This window comes from Homo sapiens, chromosome 12, assembly GCF_000001405.40.
Source record: "Homo sapiens chromosome 12, GRCh38.p14 Primary Assembly".
NCBI classification, from domain to species: Eukaryota; Metazoa; Chordata; class Mammalia; order Primates; family Hominidae; genus Homo; species Homo sapiens.
Window position 1 is genome coordinate 72,992,030 of NC_000012.12, and position 24,186 is coordinate 73,016,215.

The window sequence follows — 24,186 nt, forward strand, 5'->3', positions numbered from 1 at the left end:
TTTAAAATTCTAACTGGAAGTAGAAGTCCTCTTACTGTTGTATAAAACATCTGCCTACTTGACAGGTGCCATCAGCCAATTTGTAGATAACCTATTGCAAATGCAAGTAAAAGCATTTTACAACTAGTCTTCTCTTTATAGACATTTATGCAGAATAACTATATTTAAGGCATGGATGAAGAATTCAGGGCTATAGAAAGATCTTATCAATATATCTCAGAGCTACTGTTGTGGTAGCAGCAGGGGTTCATCACAGGTCATGCAAGTTGTTCGGCTTGACTAATGAAGAATATGGCTTCTTTTACTGAGTTAATCATAGGTCCTAAGTCTTCTGGTGTCATCAGGCTCAAGAAGAACTGTATGAACACCAAATTGTGAGTAGCAAGGGAGAAGTGAACACATTAGTATCTGCAGGGATGTGAACAGAAATAAAGGTCAGAATAATATCTGTTTAGAATTTCTAAATGTCTATGTCCTTCTGTGGTGCCCACCACTGGGAGAGGGGGTAGAAAATAACAAACCCTAATAATAAACACTCTCTAGTCTTAAACATGCACAGCATGATGATGGCCATTCAACCCAGTCATGGAACTACTAATTGGATGATTATCTTTTGTATAGATGCTATTTCTATATACTTTCCGAACCTCAAGAACCTCTGTTGCTTAGTGCTGAGGAGCTCTCCCCATCTTCACACTCCTTCACATGGAAAAAGTGTGTGTGTGAGATTGTGTTTATTGAGGGGGATGGGAGCTTATATATTTTTTCAAAGTGAACTTTATTTTTAAAGCAGTTTAGGGCCTGGGTGCAGTGGCTCATGCCTCTAATCCTAGCAATTTGGGAGGCTGAGGTGGGAGGATTGCTTGAGGCCAGGAATTGGAGACCAGCCTGGGCTACTTAGTGAGACCCTGTCTTTATAGAAAAATGATGATAAAAATTAGCTGAGCATGGTGGCACGTGCCTGTAGTCCTACCTACTCAACAGGGTGAGACAGGAGGATGGCTTAAACCCAGGAGTTTGAGGCTGCATTCAGTTATGATCCTGCCACTGCACTCTAGTCTGGGCAAGAGAGCGAGGCCCAGTCTCTAAATATAATGAAAATAATAATATAAATAAGGTAAATAAATCAGTTTTGGATTTACATAAAAATTGTGAAGATAGTATGGAGTGTTTGCATATATCTCAAACTTAGTTACCCCTGTTATTAATATCTTACATTAGTATGCTATAGTTATTACAGTGAAAAGAGTTTAATTAAGCCCATACTTTACTCAGATTTTCTTCATTTTTATCTAATGGAAGGATCCCGTTCTAGGATCCCCAACCAGGACACCACATTATGCTTAGCTGTCAATATCTCCTTAAGGCTTCTCGTGGTTGTGACAGTTTCTTAAACTTTCCTTGTTTTTCATAATCTTGATAATTTTGAGAAGTGTTGGTCATGTATGTTTCAGAATGTTCCTCTATTGGGATATATCTGATGTTTTTTAACAGGTTATAGGTTTTTGGAAGGAAGATTATAGAGGCAAAGTGCCCTTCTCATCTCATCAAACCAAGGACATACAATATCAATTTGACTTAGCTCTATTGATGTTGACCTTGATCACCTGGAGGAGAAAACATTTGTCAGGTTTCTCCACTATAAAGTTACTCTTCTAATTTCTCACTTTAAATTCTGTACTCTTTTGAAGAGAGTCCCTATGTGAAGCCCACACTTAAGGAGTCGATAGTTTCACTTTTCCTCCTGAGATTTGTCCTCCTTTCCCATCTTATTTATTCAATCAATTATTTTTATCAGTATGATTTCATAGATATATATTGAAACTTTGAGTTACATCTAATATCATTTTATATATTTTCTTGTTCAAATTGTTCTAACTTTGGTCATTGCAAGTTGTTTCACTTGCTTTTTGTGTTCCCTTTTTTCCTTTCTTTTTTGCACTTTCTTATTTTCTGAAGCAGAATACTCCAGACTCCTCTTCTGTATTTCTGTATTTCACTTGCTTTTTGTGTTCCCTGTTTTTCCTTCTTTCTGTATTTCCTACCGCATTCCCAGTATTAGCCATTTTTTTTGGTCCAAGAAGCCCTGGTTATTTTTCATGGAGAATGATATTAGAAACCAATATCTGGGTGTGAAGTGAGTTGTTTGTCCCTACTGGGGTGTAACATTTCTTCTAGGCCCTCTCAGCTGACAGAGCAAGGAAATATTTAGTATATGCTAACTCTTGTATATACAAATATCTTTATATATGTATGTGTTTGGAACTGTGTCTTTATAAGTTAAATATGAATGTCTGTTGATGTCTTCAACTGTAACCCATTACCGCATCAATTATTCTGATCTCATCACATTGCTTATCTGTAAATTCCCACTCCGAAAGTGAGAAGACTGGATCCCCTCTATTCACCATCCTTTAACTTAATTGTTCAATTCTATATTGAATTGTGTTTTATGGCCTACCATAGAATATAAGTACACATATATGAGTTAGCAACTCTGATACTATAGCAGTGTTGGAATTGTATTAGTATTAGTATACCTATACTAAAACTATTATACTATTAGTATTCCTATACTAATACTATTATACTATACTAAAAGTATACCTACGCTAATCCTATTATACTATTAGTATTATATACATACAATACCTATTATCATAGCAGTATTAGAATTTTATTAGTATTAGTATACCTATACTAATCCTATTATACTATTAGTATTATATGTATACTATTAGTATATTATATATTAGTATACCTATATACCTAATATACCTATATAATAGTATACCTATATATTAGTATACCTATACTAGTACATTATACTATTAGTATAGCATACTAATAGTATATGTGTAATACTAATAGTATAATAGGATTAGTATAGGTATACTAATACTAGTACAATTATATACAATTACATAGTATTAGTATACTAGCAATATTAGTATACTAGTACTATTAGTATGCTAATACTAATAGTACTGATATACTAGTACTATTAGTATGCTAATACTAATAGTGCTGATATACTAGTACTATTAGTATGCTAATACTAATAGTACTGATATACTAGTACTATTAGTATGCTAATACTAATAGTACTGATATACTAGTACTATTAGTATGCTAATACTAATAGTACTGATATACTAGTACTATTAGTATGCTAATACTAATAGTACTGATATACTAATACTAATAGTAGAGTATTAGTATGCTAATTCTAATAGTACAAGTATATTATTAGTATACTATAGCAGTATTAGAGTTGGTAAACTCTACCTGTACATATATTACATGGTTGGACACAAAACACAAACTTATCTTGATAAATTTCAAGGATTAAAGCATACAAAGTTTTGTTTCTTGTCTTCAATGGTATTAAATTAGGGATCAGTGAGAGTAAGGTATTAAGTAAATTCCAAAATATTTATAAATTAACCTGAATAACTCATATTAATGGGAAAAAAAATCACATGAGAGATTATAAAATATTTCTCACTGAATAATAAAGGAACACGACATAACTAAAATGAAGAAGAAGAAAGGAAATGAAAGAAAGAAGAAAGAAAGAAAAGAGAAGAGAAGAGAGGAAGGGAGAGAGGGAGAGAGGAAAGGAGGGAGGGAGGAAGGAAGGAAGGAAGGAAGGAAAGAAGGAAGGAAGGAGCGAAGTGAGGGAAGGAAACTCCCATTTTTGTCGCTTAGTTCTATGCTGCAGCACTCTTTCAACACTTCGCCAGGCCGCCAGTTTACAACTCCATCTTAGCTTTCACTTCCTGCTTCTGCTGACTGTAGATCAACCAGAGATCAAAATGTAGGGTTTTCTCAAGTCTTTCTGAGTATGAGTTCTGTCCTGGGCATGCACGTATGCATGGCTTTCCAAATAGCCTTGCCCTTTTGGATGTCACAATTTCCCCCAAAAATATTCTCCTCAGCTTTTCCTTCCAGGCTTTTGACACACTTTATTTATTTATTTATTTTTTGCCTCAAATGTAATATTTTGCCCCAGTTGGCAGCAAGTTGTTTATGTGCTTTTGAGAAATGATGGGTGACTCTATTTTGAGTAATTCTGAGTAAGGGAAAACAAAGACATGTTACTTGTGCTGGGCCTTCAGGCAGCTTTTAAATAGGTCAAAACGGACAAACGCAATTCTTTAAGGACAAATTCTGATCTGCTCTCTCTATAACCAGGGAACAGTGTTTCATATTTGGACTATGGGCTTCCATCTTCAAGATCAGCTCTGAATTGAATAGGGGAGTGTAGTAAGGACAGGTAAAAATGCTGTGAAGTTTTCTTGTTACTTTACAGTTGCCTTTTTCTTCTTTCAGCATTCACTTGATTACTGTAAAGCTTTGACTACTCTTTAGTGTTTTGACAATATTAATTCTGACAGTTTTACTTAATTTTTTGATGTTTCTGTGGATGAATGGGACTGTGGAGTTACTTTTGCCATCATTTTTGCTCTTAGTACTCTATATCTTTTTCGGCCAGGTGGCTGTGTAATTTTTTTGCCCACTTTCAAATTAGGATGTTTGTATTCTGATTGTTGATGTGTCAGTTTTCTGTTTATTTGGAATATAAGTCTTTTATCAGATATGTCTTTTGCAACCATTTTCTCTCAGGTTTTAGCCTGTTTTTTGATTCTCTCCACTGTCTCACGGAGAAGAAATTTTTTATTTACTTGAAGTTCAACTTATCAATATTTTCTTTGTGAATCATGCTTTAACCATATTTATATAAAAATGTATTGGCAAACCCAGGTCACCCAGATTCTCTCGAAGCTTTATCGCTTTCCATTTCACATTTAGATGTATGGTACATTTTGAGTTAATTTTTGTAAAAGGTGTCAAGTCTGTGTCTAGATTCTTTTCTTTGCATATTATAGGTCCACTTACACTAGAAACTTTTGTTGAATTGCCTTTTTTGGGGGTACTGTCTAACATTAGTTTATATTTATGTGAGTCTTATTGCGACTTTCTATTTCATTCCATAATATATGCTCTTGATTATTATAGCTTTATAGCAAACCATGAAGTCAGGTAACGTGAGGTTTTCAAATTTGTTCTTAATATTGTGCTGGATCTTCTAGATTTTTTTTCTCCTTTTAATTTTAGAATCAATTTTTCAAAAACTACAAATAACTTACTGGGAATTTGACTAGGATTGTGTTGAATCTATAGCTCAAGATGTAAAAAATTGGTATTTTAAGAATATTGAGTCTTCCAATCCATAAATATAAAATATATCTGCATTTATTTATTGTTAAATTTATTTTATCAGGATTTTATGGTTTTCTCTATATAGATTCTGTGTATATTTTAATGAATGTGCATGTATTTTATTTTTTTGGAATGCTTATTGTAAATTTTGCTTTTTAAAAAAATTGATCTCAAGTTCCACATATTCACTGCTGTTTTATATGAAAGCAATTACATTTGTATGTTGAACTTGTATCTTGTGACCATGCTATATAAACTTATTTCCTGGAGTTTTTTGGTTTGTTTATTTGGGGGGGATTTTCTTCATAGACAATCACGTTATCTGCTAGGTGAAACAGTTTTTGTTTTTCTTCCTCTCAATCTGTATAACTTTTATTTTTTCCTGTTATCTAACTCCCACTATAAATTGAATAAGACTGGTGAGAGAGGATATATTTACATTGTCCATGATCTTCAGAGAAAACCATACAGATTCTCACCATTAAATATAATATTAGTTGTAAGGTTTTTGTAGATATTCTTTATCAAGTTGAAAAAGTTCTCCTCTATTTTTATTTGCTAAGATATTTTATGATAAATAAATCAGATTTTTTTCAAATGCTTTTTCTCCACCAATTTTTTTTTCTTGAGCCTATTGATATGGTGGACTGTAGTGATTTTGTAATTGAACTAGCCATGTATATCTGGAATAAATCTGATATAATGGTGGTGTATAATTCTTTTATAGATTGTTGGATAAGATTTGCTAATATTTTATTGAGGGTTTTGCACCTGTTATTAAAACAGATATTGGTATGCAATTTTCCTCCTGTTAAATGTTTATTTAGTTCCATTATTTCGGTGATGGTAGCCCCATAGAATGAGTTAGAAGTGTTTCCTCTGAGTCTTTGGAAGAGATGTTGGTAAATGGCTATAATTTATTTATTAAAGAGAATTCACTGGTAGATTTTACCAGTGAAATTATCTGAGTCTGCTGCTTTGTTTTTTTTCCTTAGGTTATTAATTATTTAACTTCTTTAATAATATAGGCCAATCATGTAATTTCCTCAATTTTATTTAATGATATAGGTCAATTATTTAATATTTTTAATGATAGTGGCCATTTAGGTTACTTATTTCTCCTTGTCTTTATCTTAGTAGTTTGCATCTTTTAAAAAGGTGGTCTATTTTGCCTAAGTTACAAAATTTTGTGGGCATAGTGGTGTTTATAGTATTTCTTTATTATTCTTTTAACATCCAGGTGGTACGTAGTGGTGATCTCTTTTTCTCTTCTGTAGTCAGCAATTTGTGTCTTCTCTCTCTTACTTTTGGTTGGACTACCTGGCTGGAAATTTGTCAATGTTATTGATCTTTCAAAGAACTAGCTTTTGTTTTTTGTGTGATTTATTCTATTGATTTTTTAGTTTACAATTTTATTGAATTCTGATGAAGTTTATATTATTTCTTTGTGTTCTATTTGCTTTAGGCTAATATTGCCCTTATTGCCCTTTCTTTGCTAGTCTTCTCAAGCATAAGCTTATGTTATTAATTTAAGAGGTACCATATATTCTAATATACACATTTTAATTTCTGTCAAAGTAATGCTATTGCTGCATCCCACACATTTTATTAAGTTGTACTTTTATTTTCATTTAGTTCAACATATTTTAAAATATCACTTGAGGCTTATTTGACCAAAATGTTACCTACAGAAATATTGTTTAATTTCCAAATATGTGAGGATTTTTAAGCTATTATTTGTTATTGATTTCTAGTTTGATTCCAGTGTGGTTTGAGAATATACTTTGTATAAATTTCTATTCATTGATGAGTGCTTTACATGAGCTTGAGAAGAATATATTCTGTTGTTGGATGGAGTATTCTGTAAATGTTAACTGGATTGAGTTAACTGAGAGTGTTGTTTAGGTAAACTGTATACTTACTAATTTTCTTGTCTGCTTGTTCTATCTACCTGTTACAGAGGGGTAAAGAGGTATCCAACTAAAATACTGGATTAATCTATTTCTTTTTGCAGTTAGTCAGTTTTTGCTTCAAGTGTTGATACTCTGTGTTTAGGTACATATACATTAAAGATTGTTCAGTGTCCTCTTGAGGAAACAACCTTTTTATTTTTATGTAACGCCCTTCTTTATTCTTGATTCTTATTGTAAAGTCGGCTTTGTCTGAAATCAATATAGGCCCTTTTAAAATTAGTGTTAGCATGGTGTATTTTTTGCCATCTCTTTTCTTCTAACGTATTTGAGTTTTTATATTTAAGTGAATTTCTCATAAATCTCGTGGTGGTGTTTTTCTTTTTCCCCTCTAATTATTTCTATCTTTTAATTAGTATATTTAGACAATTCACACTCAAAGTGATTGTTTTTATGTTGGATCAATATCTGCCATATTTGTAACTATTTCTTTATGCGGTGCTATTTCTTTGTTGCTTTTTTCTAATCTTTTTTTCCCCTTCTTTGGCTATAATTGAGCATTTCATTTTCTCTCATATCCCATATCAATTACATTTCTTTATAAATTTTAGTAGTGGTTACGCTAGAATTTGTCATATACATGTTTAACTAATCTAAGGTCACTTTCAAGTAACACTATACCACTTCATGAATGGTGCAGGTAACTTATAATAGAGCATTCCCAATTCCTCCCTCCCATCGTTTATGTCATTGCTGTCATTCATTTTACTAATCTATATGCTATAATTCAGTGCATGGCTACTATTATAATTTTTAAAAATTATATCAGTTAAGATTGAAAAAAATAAAAGATTGCATTTTACTTTTCTTTATTCTTTTTCCAAGGCTTTTCCTTAAAAAAAATGGATTGAATTTCTACTCTATATCATTTTCCTTCTCTCCAAATAACTTCTTGTTCTTACATTTCTTGTGGGTCAGGTGTGTTGGCAATGAATTCCCTTAGTTTTTGTTTGTTTAATAGAGTCCTTAATTTTTGTTTGTCTAAGAGAATCGTTAGAGAATTTGTTGAGCATTTGTATTTTTCCTTCAGTTTAAATAATTTTACTGCATATAGAAATCTAAATAGGTGGCTTATTTCTTTCAGCAATTTAAATATTTCACTTCACTCTTCTTGCTTGCTTTCTGAGAGGAAGTCTACTAGAATTCTTTTTATTTCTTTTTTTTAAAAAAATTATTTCAATAGTTTTTGGGGAACAGGTAGTTTTAGTTATATGGATAAGTTCTTTAATGGCAATTTCTGAGATTTTGGTGCACCTGTCACCCAGGGAGTGTACACTATACCCAATGTGTAGTCTCCCATCCCTCACTCCACTCCCATCCTTCTTCCTCAGTCCCCAAAGTCCATTATATCATTCCTATGCCTTTGCAGTCTCACAACTTAGTTTCCAGTGTAAGTGAGAATGTGCTATATTTGGTTTTCCATTCCTGAGTTAGTTCACTTGGAATAATGGTTTCCAGTTGCATCCAAGTTGCTGAAAATGTCATTATTTCATGTTTTTAATGGCTGAGTAGTATTCCGTGGTGTATATATACTACATTTTCTTTATCCACTCATTGGCCAATGGACATTTATGTTGGTTCCATATTTTTGCAATTTTGAATTGTGCTGCTATCAACATGCATGTACAGGTATACTTTTCATATAATAACTGTCAGGCCTCTGAGCCCAAGCCAAGCCATCGCATCCCCTGTGATCTGCACGTATATGCCCAGATGGCCTGAAGTAACTAAAGAATCACAAAAGAAGTGAATATGCCCTGCCCCACCTTAACTGATGACATTCCACCACAAAAGAAGTGTAAATGGCCGGTCCTTGCCTTAATTGATGACGTTACCTTGTGAAAGTCCTTTTCCTGGCTCATCCTGGCTCAAAAAACACCCCCACTGAGCACCTTGTGACCCCCCACTCCTGCCCACTGAGCACCTTGCGACCCCCACTCCTACCCGCCAGAGAACAAACCCCCTTTGACTGTAATTTTCCTTTACCTACCCAAATCCTATAAAACGGCGCCACCCTTATCTCCCTTCACTGACTCTCTTTTCGGACTCAGCCCGCCTGCACCCAGGTGAAATAAACAGCCATGCTGCTCACATAAAGCCTGTTTGGTGGTCTCTTCACAAGGACGCGCATGAAAATAACTTCTTTTCCTTTGGGTAGATACCTCAGTACTGGAATTTCTGGGTTCAAATTGTAGTTCTACTTTAAATTCTTTAAGGAGCCTCCATACTGTTTTTTATAGTGGTTTTACTAGTTTGCATTCTCACTAGCAGTGTAGAAGTGTTCCCTTTTCACCACATCCATGCCAACATCTATTATTTTTTGATTTTTAAATTATGGCCATTCTTGCAGGAGTAAGGTGGTATCTCACTATGGTTTTAATTTCATTTCCTTGATAATTAGTGATGTTGATAATGTTTTCATATATTTGCTGGCCATTTGTATATCTTCTTTTGAGAATTGTCTAGTCATGACCTTTGCCCACTTTTTGATGGGGTTATTAGTTTTTATCTTGCTTATTTGTTTGAGTTCCTTGTAGATTCTGCATTTTAGTCCTTTGTCTGAGGCATAGTTTGAAAATATTTTCTCCCTCTCTGTGGGTTGTCTTTTTACTCTGCTGATTTTCACTCGTGTCTGTGTGAAGAGACCACCAAACAGGCTTTGTGTGAGCAACAAGGCTGTTTATTTCACCTGGTTGCAGGCGGGCTGAGTCCGAAAAGAGAGTCAGTGAAGGGAGATAGGGGTGGGGCAGTTTTATAGGATTTGGGTAGGTAAATGAAAATTACAGTCAAAGGGGGGTTGTTCCCTGGCAGGCAGGAGTGAGGGTCACAAGGTGCTCAGTAGGGGAGCTTTTGAGCCAGGATGAGCCAGGAGAAGGAATTTCACAAGTTAATGTCATCAGTTAAGGCAGGAACAGGCCACTTTCATTTCTTTTGTGGTGGAATGTCATCAGTTAAGGCAGGAACTGGCCATCTGGGTGTGTACGTGCAGGTCACAGGGGATATGATGGCTTAGCTTGGGCTCAGAGGCCTGACATTCCTGTCTTCTTATATTAATAAGAAAAATAAAACAAAATAATGGTAAAGTGTTGGGAAAATTTTGGGGGATGGTATGGAGAGATAATGGGTGATGTTTCTCAGGGCTGCTTCGAGCGGGATTAGGGGCGGTGTGGGAACCTAGAGTGGGAGAGATTAAGCTGAAGGAAGATTTTGTGGTAAGGAGTGATATTGTGGGACTGTGAGAAGAAACGTTTGTCATTTAGAATTATTGGTGATGGCCTGGATATGGTTTTGTATGAATTGAAAAACTAAATGGAATAAGAGAAGGAGAAAAACAGGTATTAAAGGTCTAAGAATTGGGAGGACCCAGGACATCTGATTAGAGAGTGACTAAGGAGATTCAGCATAGTCCTGCCAGCAAAGATTATTTATTTGCTTCAAGAGTTAAGAGTGGCAGTTTGGGGATAGCACTAGGAGATATCAGCTGTGGTGGCTTGGAGAAACAGTGTAAAACGGCAGTGTAAACAAGAGCAGGGCATGTATGAGGTAGTTGAGAATGGTGAATAGGAGTATGACTAGACAGAAGATAGTAGGGATGACAAGTTTTTTGGGGCACAGTCCAAGTTGGTCTGGTGTCTGAAATGAGACTGGGGCCTAATAAAAAGGAGCATCTATACAAGAGCTTAAATGGGCTGTACCTTGTAGCATTCTGAGGACAGGCCCGAATTCTGAGAAAGGCAAGTGGTAAAAGTATTGTCCAGTCCTTTTTAAGTTGGTGGCTGTGTTTTTAAAAGACTGTTTGTCCGTTCTACTTTTCCTGATGATTGAGGATGGTAAGTGATATAAAGATTTCATTGAATACCAAGAGCCTAAAAAACTGGTTGGGTGATTTGACTAATAAAGGCTGGTCTGCTATCGGACTGTATAGAGGTGGGAAGGCCAAACCGAGGAATTATGTCTGACAGAAGGGAAGAAATGACTGTGGTGGCCTTCTCAGCCCTGTGGGAAAGGCCTCTACCTATCCATTGAAAGTGTCTACTCAGACTAAGAGGTATTTTAATTTCCTGACTTGAGGAATGTGAGTAAAGCCAATTTGCCAGTCCTGGGCAGGGGCAAATCCCCGAGCTTGATGTGTAGGAAAGGAAGGGGGCGTGAGGAATCCCTGAGAAGTAGTAGAATAACAGATGGAACACTGGAAAGTTATTTCCTTGAGGATAGATTTTCACGATGGAAAGGAAATGAGAGGTTCTAAGAGGCAGGCTCGTGGCTTGTGCTATAGCATAGCCTGCCTTTCTGGTGTGTGGCGATTAGGCCTGGTGGAACTGCCATCAATAAACTGAGCGTGATCAGGGTGAGGAACAGGAAAGAAGGAAATATGAGGAAATGGGGTGAATGTCAGGTGGATCAGAGAGATACAGTCATGGGGATCAGGTGTGGTATCAGGAATAATGTGGGAGGCCAGATTGAAGTCCAGGCCAGGAACGATGGTAATTGTGGGAGACTCAACAAAGAGTGAGTACAGCTGAAGGAGCTGGGGAGCAGGAAGTATATGCATCAGGTGTGAGGAAGAAAATAGATTTTGGAAGTTATGAGAACTGTAGAGAGTGAGTTGAGTATAGTTTGTGATTTTAAGGGCCTCTAAAAGTATCAGGGCGTCAGCGGCCACCACACACAGACTTGAGGGCTAGGCAAAAACAGTAAGGTCGAGTTGTTTGGATAAAAAGGCTACAGGGTGCGGTTCCAGTTCTTGTGTAAGAATTCTGACTGCACACCCCTGCACTTTGGCTGTGGGTAACGAAAAGGGTTGGGATGAATCAGGGAGAGCTAGGGTGAGGGCAGTCTCTAAGGCTGTCTTCAAGGAATGGGAAGAGGAGTGGGGAAAGGATTTAGGATCTATGGGGTCAGCTAGATTTCCTTTTGTGAGTTTATATAATGGTTTTGTCAGGATGGCAAAACCAGATATCTAAAGTCGAAAGTATCTAACCATGCCTAGGAAGGAAAGGAGTTGTTGTTTTGTAGAAGGGATTGGGGTTTGGGAGATTAGCCAGACACAATCAGTAGGGAGAGCACATGTGTTTTTTTGAGAATTATGATGAGATAGGTAACAGATGAGGAAGAAATTTGGGCTTGACTGAAGTAATGGGGGCTGCCTGTGAAGACTTGCAGCAGTACAGCCCAGGTAATTTGCTGAGCCTGATGGGTGTCAGGGTCAGTCCAAGTGAAAGTGAAGAGAGGCTGGGATGAAGGGTGCAAAGGAATAGTAAAGAAAGCATGTTTGAGATCTAGAACAGAATAATGGATTGTGGAGGGAGGTATTGAGGATAGGAGAGTATATGGGTTTGGCACCATGGGGCGGATAGGCAAAACAATTCGGTTGATAAGGCGCAGATCTTGAACTAACGTGTGAGCCTTGTCTGGTTTTAGGACAGGTGAAATGGGGAAATTGTAAGGGGAGTTTACAGGCTTTAAAAGGCCATGCTGTAGTAGGTGAGTGATAACAGGCTTTAATCTTTTTAAAGCATGATGTGGGATGGGATATTGGTATTGAGGGGGGGTAAGGGTGATTAGGTTTTAATGAGATTGTAAGGGGTGCATGATCAGTTGCCGAGGAGGGAGTAGAGGTACCTTATACTTGTGGGTTAAGGTGGGGGGATACTAGAGGAGGATGCGAAGGAGGTTTTGACCTGGGGAAAAGGGCAGCAATGAGGTGTGGCTGTAGCTAATAAGGGAACTGGGCAGGTGGGGATAATTAAAAAAGAGTGCATAAAAGAATGTTTTCTAAGTTGGCAACAGAGTTGGGGAGTTTTAAGAGGTTTAGAAGCCTGGCCGTCAATACCCATGACAGTTATGGTGGCAAGGGAAACAGGCCCTTGAAAAGAAGGTAATGTGGAGTGGGTAGCCTCTGTATTGACTAAGAAGGGGATGGACTTACCCTCCACTGTGAGAGTTACCCAGAGCATCTGTGATGGTCCTGTAGGCTTCCGAGGTGATTGGGCAGTGTTCAGTCTTCAGCTGCTAAGCCAAGAAGATCTGGGAAGGAGTCAGAGAGCCTTGGGCCAGAGTTCCAGGGACTCTGGGGGTGGCTGCCAGGTGAGTTGAACAGTCTGATTTTCAGTGGGGTCCTGCACAGATGGGACGTGGCTTACGAGGAATCCTGGGCTGTGGGCATTCCTTGGCCCAGTGGCCAGATTTCTGGCACTTGTAGCAGGCTCCTGGGGGAGGAGGTTCTGGAGGAACCCCTGACAGCTGTGGTTCAGGCATTTGGAGTTCTTATGTGCTGGAGATGTGGCTGGGGTTTGTCTCACAGTGGAGGCAAGGAATTGCAACTCAGAAATACATTGCTACTTGGCTGCCTCTCCTCTATTATTGTACACCTTGAAGGTGAGGTTAAGTCTTGTTGTGGGGTTTGAGGGCTGGAATTTAATTTTTGGAGTTTTATTTAATGTCAGGAGTGGATTGGTTGATAAAATGTATATTCAGAATAAGACTGTCTTTTGACCTTTTAGGGTCTAGGGCCGTAAAGCGTCTCAGGGTTGCTGCTGAACGAGCCATGAACTGGGCTAGGTTTTTCATATTTGATGAAAGAGCCTAAATGCTAACTGATTTGGGAGAGGTCAGATAAAGAAAAAGGAGCACTAACCTTGACTATGCCTTTAGCTTCAGCCACCTTTTTAAGAGGAAATTGCTGGGCAGGTAGGGGAGGGCTAGTCACGGAACGAAACTGTAAGCTGGACCGGGTGTGAGGAGGGGAGGTGATAAAAGGATTATAGGGTTGGGGAGTAGAGGCTGAGGAAGAATTGGGACCTAGCTCGGCCTGGTGAGGAGCAGCCTGGGGAGGAGGGGAGAGGTCAGATGGGTCTGTAGAAAAGGAAGATTAGAAAGACTCAGTAACACTTGGGGTTGGGACTGAGAGAACATGTGGAAGGGGAAAAAGGATAATTTGGGACGAGTCACATTGAGAACAGAGAGTAGGGAGGGACCGATGTGTAAAAGAATGACTGGATGTCAGGCATCTCAGACCGTTTGCCCATTTTAAGACAAGAATTATCTAGATCTTGTAGGATGGAAGAATCAAAAGTGCCATTTTCTGGCCATTTAGAGCCATTGTCAAGTTTGTATTGGGGTCAAGCAGCATTGTAGAAGAAAATAAGGCGTTTAGGTTTTAGGTCAGGTGTGAGTTGAAGAGGTTTTAAGTTCTTGAGAACACAGGCTAAGGGAGAAGAGGGAGGAATGGAGGGTGGAAGGTTACCCATAGTGAAGGAGGCAAGCCCAGAAAAAAGAGAGTAGAGACACGGAGAGAAGGGGTTGGGTGGGGGGTTCTTGCCCTCCAGAGAAGCGGAGAAGGGGTAGAGACATGGAGAGAAGGGGTCGGGGGGTTCTTGTCCCCTAGAAAAGCAGTATTTGCTGCTAAGGTTGAAGGAGAAGGGGTTAGGGGGTTCTTGCCCCACAGAAAAGTGGAAAAGGGGTAGAGACATGGAGAGAAGGGTTCGGGGGGTTCTTGCCCCCTAGAAAAGCGGTACTTGCCACTAAGGATGAAGAAGGGGTTGGGGGGTTCTTGACCCCCAGAAAAGCAGAGAAGGGGTACAGACATGGAGATAAGGGGTTGGGGGGTTCTTGCCCCCCAGAAAAGTGGTATCTGCCACTAAGGGTGAAGGACCAAGGCAGGCATCCCCGTGTGGTCAGGCACCTCTGAAATGTGGGTGAATAATCAGGCAGGCATCCCTGCGTGATTAAACACCAAGGGAAGACTGTCTTCCCAAGTCCGTGACTGGCACCGAAGTTTTGGGTCCACGGATAAAACACATCTCCTTCGTCTCTACCAGAAAAGGAAAGGAACTGAAATTAAGAGAAGGGAAAGATTGAAGTGTGGCACCAAGATTGAAAGGAGGAAGAGGTTGAGAGATAGTGAGAGAGGTCGGAGAAGAGAGTAAAAAGAGGCCACTTACTGGATTTAAAATTGGTGAGATGTTCCTTGGGCTGGTTGGTCTGAGGACCAGAGGTCGTAGGTGGATCTTTCTCATGGAACAAACAGCAGGAGGACAGGGGATTGATCTCACAAGGGAGGTCCCCCAATCCAAGTCACCGCACCAAATTTCACTCGTGTCCATGTGAAGAGACCACCAAACAGTCTTTGTGTGAGCAACAAGGCTATTTATTTCACCTGGGTGCAGGCGGGCTGAGTCCGAAAAGAGAGTCAGCAAAGGGAGATGGGGTGGGGCCATTTTATAGGATTTGGGTAGGTAAACAAAAATTACAGTCAAAGGGGGGTTGTTCTCTGGCGGGCAGGAGTGGGGGTCACAAGGTGCTCAGTAGGGGAGCTTTTGAGCCAGGATGAGCCAGGAGAAGGAATTTCACAAGATAATGTCATCAGTTAAGGCAGAAACAGGCCGTTTTCTTTTCTTTTGTGGTGGAATGTCATCAGTTAAGGCAGGAACTGGCCATCTGGATGTGTATGTGCAGGTCACAGGGGATATGATGGCTTAGTTTGGGCTCAGAGGCCTGACACTGATTATTTCTTTTGCTGTGCAGAAACTTTTTAGTCATGTTCCTTTTATTTATTTTTCTTATTGTTGCATTTGCTTTTGGATTCTTGGTCATGAAATCTTTGCCTGAGCCAATGTCTAGAAGAGTTTTTTCAATGTTCTTATAGTATTTTTATGGCTTCAGGTATTAGATTTAAGTCCTTCATTTATCTTGAGTCAATTTTTGTGTAAGGTAAGAGATGAGTATCCAGTTTCATTCTTCTACATGTGGCTTGCCAATTATCCCAGCACCATTTGTTGAGTAGGGTGTCCTTTACCCATTTTATGTTTTTGTATGCTTTGTCAAATGTCAGTTGGCTGTAAGTATTTGGCTTTATTTCTGGGTTCTCTATTTTGTTCCATTGGTCTACAAGCATATTTTTATACTAGTACAATTTGTTAGTATCATCTGTAATTTCTTTCAGCAGTGTTTTGTAGTTTTTCTTGTAGAGATCTTTCACCTCCTTGGTTAAGTATATTCCTTAATATTTTTTTTTCAGCTGTTGCAAAAAAGACTGAGTTCTTTTCTTTTATTATTTTATTTGAGATGGAATTTTGCTCTGTCACCCAGGCTGGAGTGCAGTGGCACGATCTCAGCTCACTGCTCTGGGATTCAAGCGATTCTCCTGCTTGAGCTGCCAAGTAGCTGGGATTACAGGCTCACACCAACACACCCTGCTAATTTTTGTATTTTAGTAGAGACAGGGTTTCAGCATGTTGGCCAGGCTGGTCTCAAACTCCTGACCTCAAGTGATCCACCTGCCTCAGCCTTCCAAAGTGCTGGGATTACAGGCATAAGCCACTGTGCCTGGCCAGAACTGAGTTCTTGATTTGATTCCCAGCTTGGTCATTGTTAGTATACAGCAGTTGCTCCTGATTTGTGTGCATTGATTTTTGTATCCAGAAACTTTACTGAATTCATTTATCAGATTTAGGAGGTTTTTGCATGGGTCTTTAGTGCTTTCTGGTATATAATTCTGAAGGGGTGGCCTGCCCCTCCACACTTGTGGGCGTTTCTCATCGGATGGGATGAGAGACTTAAGAAAAGAAAGAGACACAGAGACAAAGTATAGAGAAAGAAAAGTGGGCCCAGGGAACTGGCGCTCAGCATATGGAGGACCCGCGCCGGCACCAGTCTCTGAGTTCCTTTAGTATTTATTGATCATTATCGGGCATTTCTTGGAGAGGCGGATGTGGCAGGACAATAGGGTAATAGTGGGGAGAAGGTCATCAGGAAAACATGTGAACAAATGTCTCTGCATCATAAACAAGGTAAAGAAAAAAGTGCTGTGCTTTTGATGTGCATATACATAAACATCTCAATGCCTTAAAGAGCAGTATTGCTGCCAGCATGTCCCACCTCCAGCCCTAAGGCAGTTTTCCCCATCTCAGTAGATGGAATATACAATGGGGTTTTACACTAAGGCATTCCATTGCTCAGGGATGAGCAGGAGACAGATGCCTTCCTCTTATCTCAACTGCAAAGAGGCCTTCCTTCCTCTTTTACTAATCCTCCTCAGCACAGACCCTTTACGGTTGTCAGGCTGGGGGATGGTCAGGTCTTTCCCTTCCCAGGAGGCCATATTCAGACTGTCACATGGGGAGAAACCTTGGACAATACCTGGCTTTCCTAGACAGAGGTCCCTGCGGACTTCCTCAGTGTACTGTGTTTCTGGGTACTTGAGATTAGGGAGTGGTGATGACTCTTAACAAGCATGCTGCTTTCAAGCATTTGTTTAACAAAGCATATCCTGCACAGCCCTTAATCCATTTAACCCTGAGTTGACACAGCACATGTTTCAGGGAGCACAGGGTTGGGGGTAGGGTTACAGATTAACAGCATCTCAAGGCAGAAGAATTTTTCTTAGTACAGAATAAAATGGAGTCTCTTATGTCTACTTCTTTCTACATAGACACAGTAACAGTCGGATTTCTCTTTCTTTTCCCCACACAATTCTATCATCAGTGAAGAGTTACAGTTTGATTTCCTCTTTTCCAATTTGGATGCCCTTATTTCTTTTTCTTGTCTGATTGCTCTGGCCAGGACTTCCAGTACTATGTTGAATAGAAGGGGTGAGAGTGGGCATCTTTGTCTTCTTTCAGCTCTCAAGAGGAATTCTGTCAACTCTTCCCCATTTAGTATGATATTGGCAGTGGGTTTGTCATATATGGCTTGTATTACTTTGAGGTATGTTCCTTCTATGTCAGTTTTGCTGAGGGTTTTATTATAAAGAGATGCTGGATTTTGTCAAATGCATTTTTCTGTTTCTATTGAGATGATCATGTGATTTTTGTTTTTAATTCTCTTTATGTGATGTATCACATTTATTGACCTCTGTATGTTAACCCCTTATTGAGTTTATTTGTATCTTCTCTCTCCTTTTCTTGGTCAGTCTCAGTAATGATCTATCCATTTTGTTTAGCATCTCAAAGAACTAGCTTTCTGTTTCATTTATTTATTTTGTTGTTGTTTTAATTACATTTAGCTCTGTTCTGATATTTGTTATTTATTTTCTTCTGCTGGGTTAAGTTTGGTTTGTTTTTGTTTCTCTAGTTCCTTGAGGTGTGACGTTAGGTTGTCTATTTGTGCTTTTTCAGGTTGTTTAATGTAGACATTTAATGGTATGAACTTTCCTCCTAGCACTGCTTTTGCTATGTCACAGAGGTTTGATAAGTTTTGTCATTATTTTCATTCAGTTCAAAGAATTTTTAAATTTCCATCTTGATTTCATTGTTAACCCAAAGATCAATCAAGGGTAGGTTGTTTAATTTCCATGTATTTGTATAATTTTGAGGGTTTGTTTGGAATTAATTTCCAGTTTTATTTCACTGTGGTCTGAAATGATACTTAATATGATTTTGATTTTCTTAAATTTATTGAGACTTGTTTTGTAGTCTTTCATATGGCCTATCTTGGAGAATGTTCCAGATGGTGGTGAAGAGTGTATATTTCTGCAGTTGTTGAGCAGAATGTTCTATAAATATCTGTTAAGTCCATCTGTTTTAGGGTATAGTTTCCTTTTTTCTTTTCTTTTCTCTTTTTTTTTTTTTTTTTTTTGGAAACAGAGTCTCACTTTGTCACCCAGGCTAGAGTGTACTGGCATGGTCTTGGCTCACTGCAACCTCTGCCTCCCAGGTTCAAGCCATTGTCATGCCTCAGCCTCTCAAGTAGCTGGGACTATAGGTGTGTGCCATCATGCTTGGTTAATTTTTGTATTTTTATTATAGTAGATATGAGGTTTCACCATGTTGGTCAGGCTGGTCTTGAACTCCTGAACTCAAGTGATCCATCTGCCTCAGGCTCCCAAAGTGCTAGGATTACAGGCATGAGCCACAGTGCTCTGCCATTAAGTCCATTGTTTCTTTGTTGACTTTCTTTCTTGATGTCCTGACTAGTGCTGTCAGTGGAGTTCTGAAGTCTCCCACTATTGCTGTGTTGCTGTCTACCTCATTTCTTAGGTCTAGCAGTAATTGTTTTATGAATTTGGGAGCTCCAGTGTTACGTGCATAAATATTTAAGATTGTGTTATTTTCCTGTTCAACTAATAATTTTTATCATTATATAATGCCCTTTTTTGTCTTTTTTTTTTTTTAACTGTTGTCTCTTTAAAGTCTATTTTGTCTGATATAAGAATATCTACTCCTGCTGGCTTTTAGTTTCCATTTGTGTGGGATATCTTTTTCTACCCCTTTACCTTAAGTTTATGTAAGTCCTTATATGTTAGGTAAGACAGCAGATGGTTGGTCGACTTTCTACCCATTCTGCCAATCTGTGTTTTTTAAGTGGAGCATTTAGACTATTTACATTCAACTTTAGTATTGAGATGTGATGTCCTATTCTATTAATCATGTTAATTGTTGCCTAAGTGCCTTGTATTTCTCATTGTGTTATTGTTTTATAGGCCCTGTGAACAGAACCTTTAAGGAGATTCTATTTTGATGTATTTCGAGGTTTTGTTTCAAGATTTAGAACCCCTTTTGCATTTCTTGTAGTACTTGTTTGGTAGTAGTAAATTCTCTCAGCATTCATGTGTCTGAAAAAGACTTTATCTCGCCTTCATTTGTGAATCTTTGTTTTGCTGGATACAAAATCCTTGGCTGACAATTATTTCGTTTATGGAGGCTAAAGATAGGATCCCAGTCTCTTCTGACTTGTAAGGTTTCTGCTGATAAATCAGCTGTTCATCTGACAGATGTTCCTTTATAGGTTATCTAATGCTTTTTCTCAGAGCTCTTAAGATTCTATCCTTTGTCTTGACTTCAGATAATCTGAAGACTATGTGATGAGGCAATGATATTTTTGTAATGAATTTCCAAGGAATTCATTGAGCTTCTTGTATTTGGATGTCTGGGTCTCTAGAAAGGCCAGGGGAGTTTCCCTCAATTTTTCTCTCAAATAGATTTTCCAAACTTTTAAATTTATCTTCTTCTCCAGGAACACCAATTATTCTTAGGTTTGTCCATTTAACATAATCCCAAATTTCTTAGAGGCTTTTTTCATTTAAATGTTTTTTTCTTTGTCTGATTTAGTTCAAAAGCCTTGTCTTTGAGCTCTGAAGTTCTTTCTTCTACTTGTTCTAGTCTATTGTTCAAACTTTCAACTGCATTTCGTATTTCCCTAAGTTTGTCTTTGAATTCCAGAAATTGTGACTGTATTTTTTTAATTACATCTATTTCTCTGGTAAATTTTTCATCCATATTTTTAATTGTTTTTTAGAATTTCTTTAAATTAGTTTTCATCTTTCTCTAGGATGTCCTTGAGTACCTTAATAGTTAAGCTTAACAATCCATTCAACCTTCTGAATTCTTTATCTAGCAATTCAGAGATTTCTTCTTGGTTTGAATTCACTGCTGGAAGCTAGTGTGATCATTTGGGGTGTTATAAAACCCTATTTTGTCATACAACCAGAATTACTTTTCTGATTCCTTCTCATTTCAGTAGATTATTTCTTCAAATTGTTCTTGAATTTATTTTTGGTGGGATTGGTTTTTTTTTTTAATTTAATTTTTTTCCCTCATAGGAACCAGACTTTAATGTTTATATTAGCCTAATTTGATTCTTCATGCTTGTAGGGGTGAAGACTCTGTTACTTAGTTATAGAGAGTCTTTGTGTGTTGGCTTTCTGTGATGCTGGTTGTAGCTGTTATATTCTTGATGTGTAGGTGAGTTCACTGACTGTTATGGAGTTGGAATGGCAGGGATCTCTTGAAGCTCCTCTCATTCTCTCATGGTATTTATTTATTTATTTCCCCAGTCTTTTATTTAGTGAGTTGGTGATTCGGGCCTCAGGTCAATAAAGGAAGTATCCCTGGGTAGGCATCAGTTGTGGCTAAGGCAGGTAGGTAGATGTAATACCCAAAGGTGGGCCAAGGTCTTAGCCTTGGTGAATGTGGCTGGTGGAGCTCTCAATTACATATGGTGATGTTTTATCAGGATGAAGAATGAGAACTACCTCAACTCCCCTACCAGGTCAGTAGGAAAGCTATTCATCTTACAGCCTCATGTCTGTCCTAATGTTTCAGCTATTCAGATTAAACAGGCACCTCTTTTCCTATAGGAATGTTGATGTTCCAAGTAGGGAGAAATTGTGATTCTGCCTCTTGTGCAGGCCTGAATCTGGGGAGTGGTCCTCTTGTGGGGCTGCACTTACCCTGGGTTGTTCCAGAAAGGCTATCTATAGGTGCCTCTATGTCACTTTCCTGTGGAGAAAGCCCCAGCTGTGTCTGCAGTGCAGTACCAGGGAGAAAAATGACCCCTTCTCCAAAGCCCGCCACAATCACAGAAGCTGTCTGCCTGTTAGAATATAGACGCAGAATTTCCCTACTGCATCCAGCATTGCAACGATGTCTCTGCTCCTGCAAAGAGATCCGGAACTCAAGACCTGCTCTTCAGATTCTTTTGTTCCACAGGTGATCCCTTAATGTGATACTCTCCCCCTTCCTTTAGGGATGGGGCTTTCTGAAAGTCTGATTGCAGTGGTTGTTATTGTCTTTTGGTTCTAGCCATCCAGAGGGGCTAGCAGGCATGGGCTGGTGCTGGGGAATGTGTGCACAGTCCAGTGATATGACCATTCTTTAGGTCTCCCAGCCATCGATACCAGCACCTGCTCTGGTGGAGATGTCAAGGGAGGGATGTAGACTCTGTGGGTATCCTTAGTTGTAGATAGGTTTAGTGTGCTGGCTTTCTTGAACGCTGGTTTTGTTAGCAGTGAAGTTTTTACTTGGACAGACTCAGGACCTCTGATTAGCCAGGATGTTGCAGGCAGCAATACTAACTGTTGTTTTCTCCTTCCTGGGAGCAGGGTTATTCTGACATGAGTTGCTGGAATGGCCTGAGTTGGTTAGCCTCCAGCCAGGAGGTGGTGCTTTTAAGAAAGTACTAGCTGTAGTATTAGCAGTGGGATTTGAGCTTGCCCTAAGTTGGTCAGGGGAAGTATTCTGGTTTCCCAGGTGATGGGTGGAGCCATAAAACTCCCAATAGTTTTTGTCTTTTGTGTTGGGAGATTTTCGCCTGTCTCACTGAGTTTTCAGGGCATGCTGTTTTCCTTCAAAGGATCCGTGAATTCCTTCAGTTTTCCTGGTACAGTCCTGCAGTAGTTCTTGGAACAAAAGTTTGCAGTGTGAATTTCTACAAACTGCTCTATCCATCCAAATGGGAGACACATGTTAACCCTGCTTCTTATCTGCCATCTTCTCCAGGAAGTCTACTGTAATTTATATTCTTGGTCTTTTAGAGGGAAGTTTTATATTTTTTCCTTTCTCTTGTTTCTGTCAAGACTTTTGCTTTGTCTTTGATAATTTTCAGTTTAGATGTGATATGTCTAAGTGTAGATATTTTGGAATTTATCATGTTTGCTCTTCTCTGCTTCTTGAATCTGTGGTTTGATATCATTTATTAATTTTGGAAAATCATAGCCATTACTATCTCAAATATTTCTTCTACTCCACTCATATTCTCTTTCTCTCATTGTCTTACTGATGTTCCAATTAGTGCATGTATATTTTCAATTAAACACACATTAAAATTTTTGTAATTGTCCCACCGTTTTTACATATTCTGTTCCCTTGTTTTTATTATTTTTTCTATTTGTATTTAAATTTGGAATGTTTTTATCAAACTATCTTAATGCTCATTGGTTCTCTATTGAGTCATATCCAGTCTTCAGATAAACCTACTAAAAGCATTCTTAATTTCTGTTACCATTTTTTTTTAATTTATAGCCTTTAGTTTTGATTATTTCCTTAGACTCTTCAATTAACTGTTTACAATACCAATATGTTATTTTTTAAGTTTTTTAATTTCATTTTTTATTATATTTTAAGTTCTGGGTTACATATGCAGAACATGCAGGTTTGTTACATAGGTATACACATGCCATGCATACACGTGTGTTTGCTGCACCTATCAACCTGTCATCTACATTGGGTGTTTATCCTAATGCTATCCCTCCCCCAGGACCCCAATCCCCAATAGGCCCCGATGTGTGATGTTCCCCTCCCTGTGTCCATGAGTTCTCATGGTTCAACTCCCACGTGTGAATGAGAACATGCAGTGTTTGATTTTCTGTTCCTGTGTTAGTTTGCTGAGAATGATGGTATCCAGCTTCATCCATGTCCCTGCAAAGGACATGAACTCATCCTTTTTCATGGCTGCATAGCATTCTATGGTGTATGTGTGCCACATTTTCTTTATACAGTCTATCATCATTTGGGTTGGTTCCAAATCTTTGTTATTGTGGATAGTGCTGCAACAAACATATGTGTGCATGTGTTTTTATAGTAGAATGATTTATAATCCTTTGAGTATATACCCAATAATGAGATTGCTGAGTCAAATATTATTTCTGTTTCTAGATCCTTAAGGAATCACCCCACTGTCTTACACAATGGTTGAATGAATTTACACTCCCACCAACAGTGTAAAAGCATTCTTATTTCTCCAAATCCTCTCCAACATCTGTTGTTTCCTGACATTTTAATGATTGCCATTTAAACTGACATAAGATGGTATCTGATTGTGGTTTTAATTTGCATTTCTCTAATGACAGTGATGATGAGCTTTTTTTCATATGTTTTTTGGCCACATGCGTGTCTTCTTTTGAGAAGTGTCTGATCATATCCTTCACCCACTTTTTGATGTTTTTCTTTTTTTATTTTTGTAAATTTGTTTAAGTTCCTTGTAGATTCTGGATATTAGCCCTTTGTAAGATGGACAGATTGTGAAAATTTTCTGCCATTCTGTAGGTTGCCCGTTCACTCTGATGATAGTTTCTTTTTCTGTGCAGAAGCTCTTTAGTTTAATTAGATCCCATTTGTCAATTTTGGCTTTTGTTGCCATTGCATTTGGAGTTTTAGTCATGAAGTCTTTGCCCATGCCTATGTCCTGAATAGTATGGTCTGGGGTTTTTATGGTTTTAGGTCTTACATTTAAGTCTAATCCATATTGAGTTAATTTTTGTATAAGGTGTAAG

General features: G+C 38.3%; 1 long non-coding RNA gene across 2 annotated transcripts in view, besides 2 other annotated features; it reads left to right on the forward strand.

Moving 5' to 3' along the window:
- The window catches only part of LOC105369838 (uncharacterized), a 122,994-nt gene that overhangs the window by 72,120 nt on the left and 26,688 nt on the right, over positions 1 to 24,186 (forward strand). The window lies entirely within an intron of this gene.
- Positions 3,707 to 3,907: a silencer, noted in NCBI's record as "peak1829 fragment used in MPRA reporter construct". NCBI's record gives its function as "represses an SCP1 promoter by STARR-seq MPRAs in K562 erythroleukemia cells {active_cell/tissue: K562}" and the evidence as "EXISTENCE:reporter gene assay evidence [ECO:0000049][PMID:32103011]".
- Positions 8,638 to 9,413: an enhancer, noted in NCBI's record as "OCT4-NANOG hESC enhancer chr12:73394447-73395222 (GRCh37/hg19 assembly coordinates)". NCBI's record gives its function as "activates a minimal SCP1, AML or CMV promoter by ChIP-STARR-seq in naive and primed H9 embryonic stem cells {active_cell/tissue: H9 hESC(naive and primed)}" and the evidence as "EXISTENCE:reporter gene assay evidence [ECO:0000049][PMID:30033119]".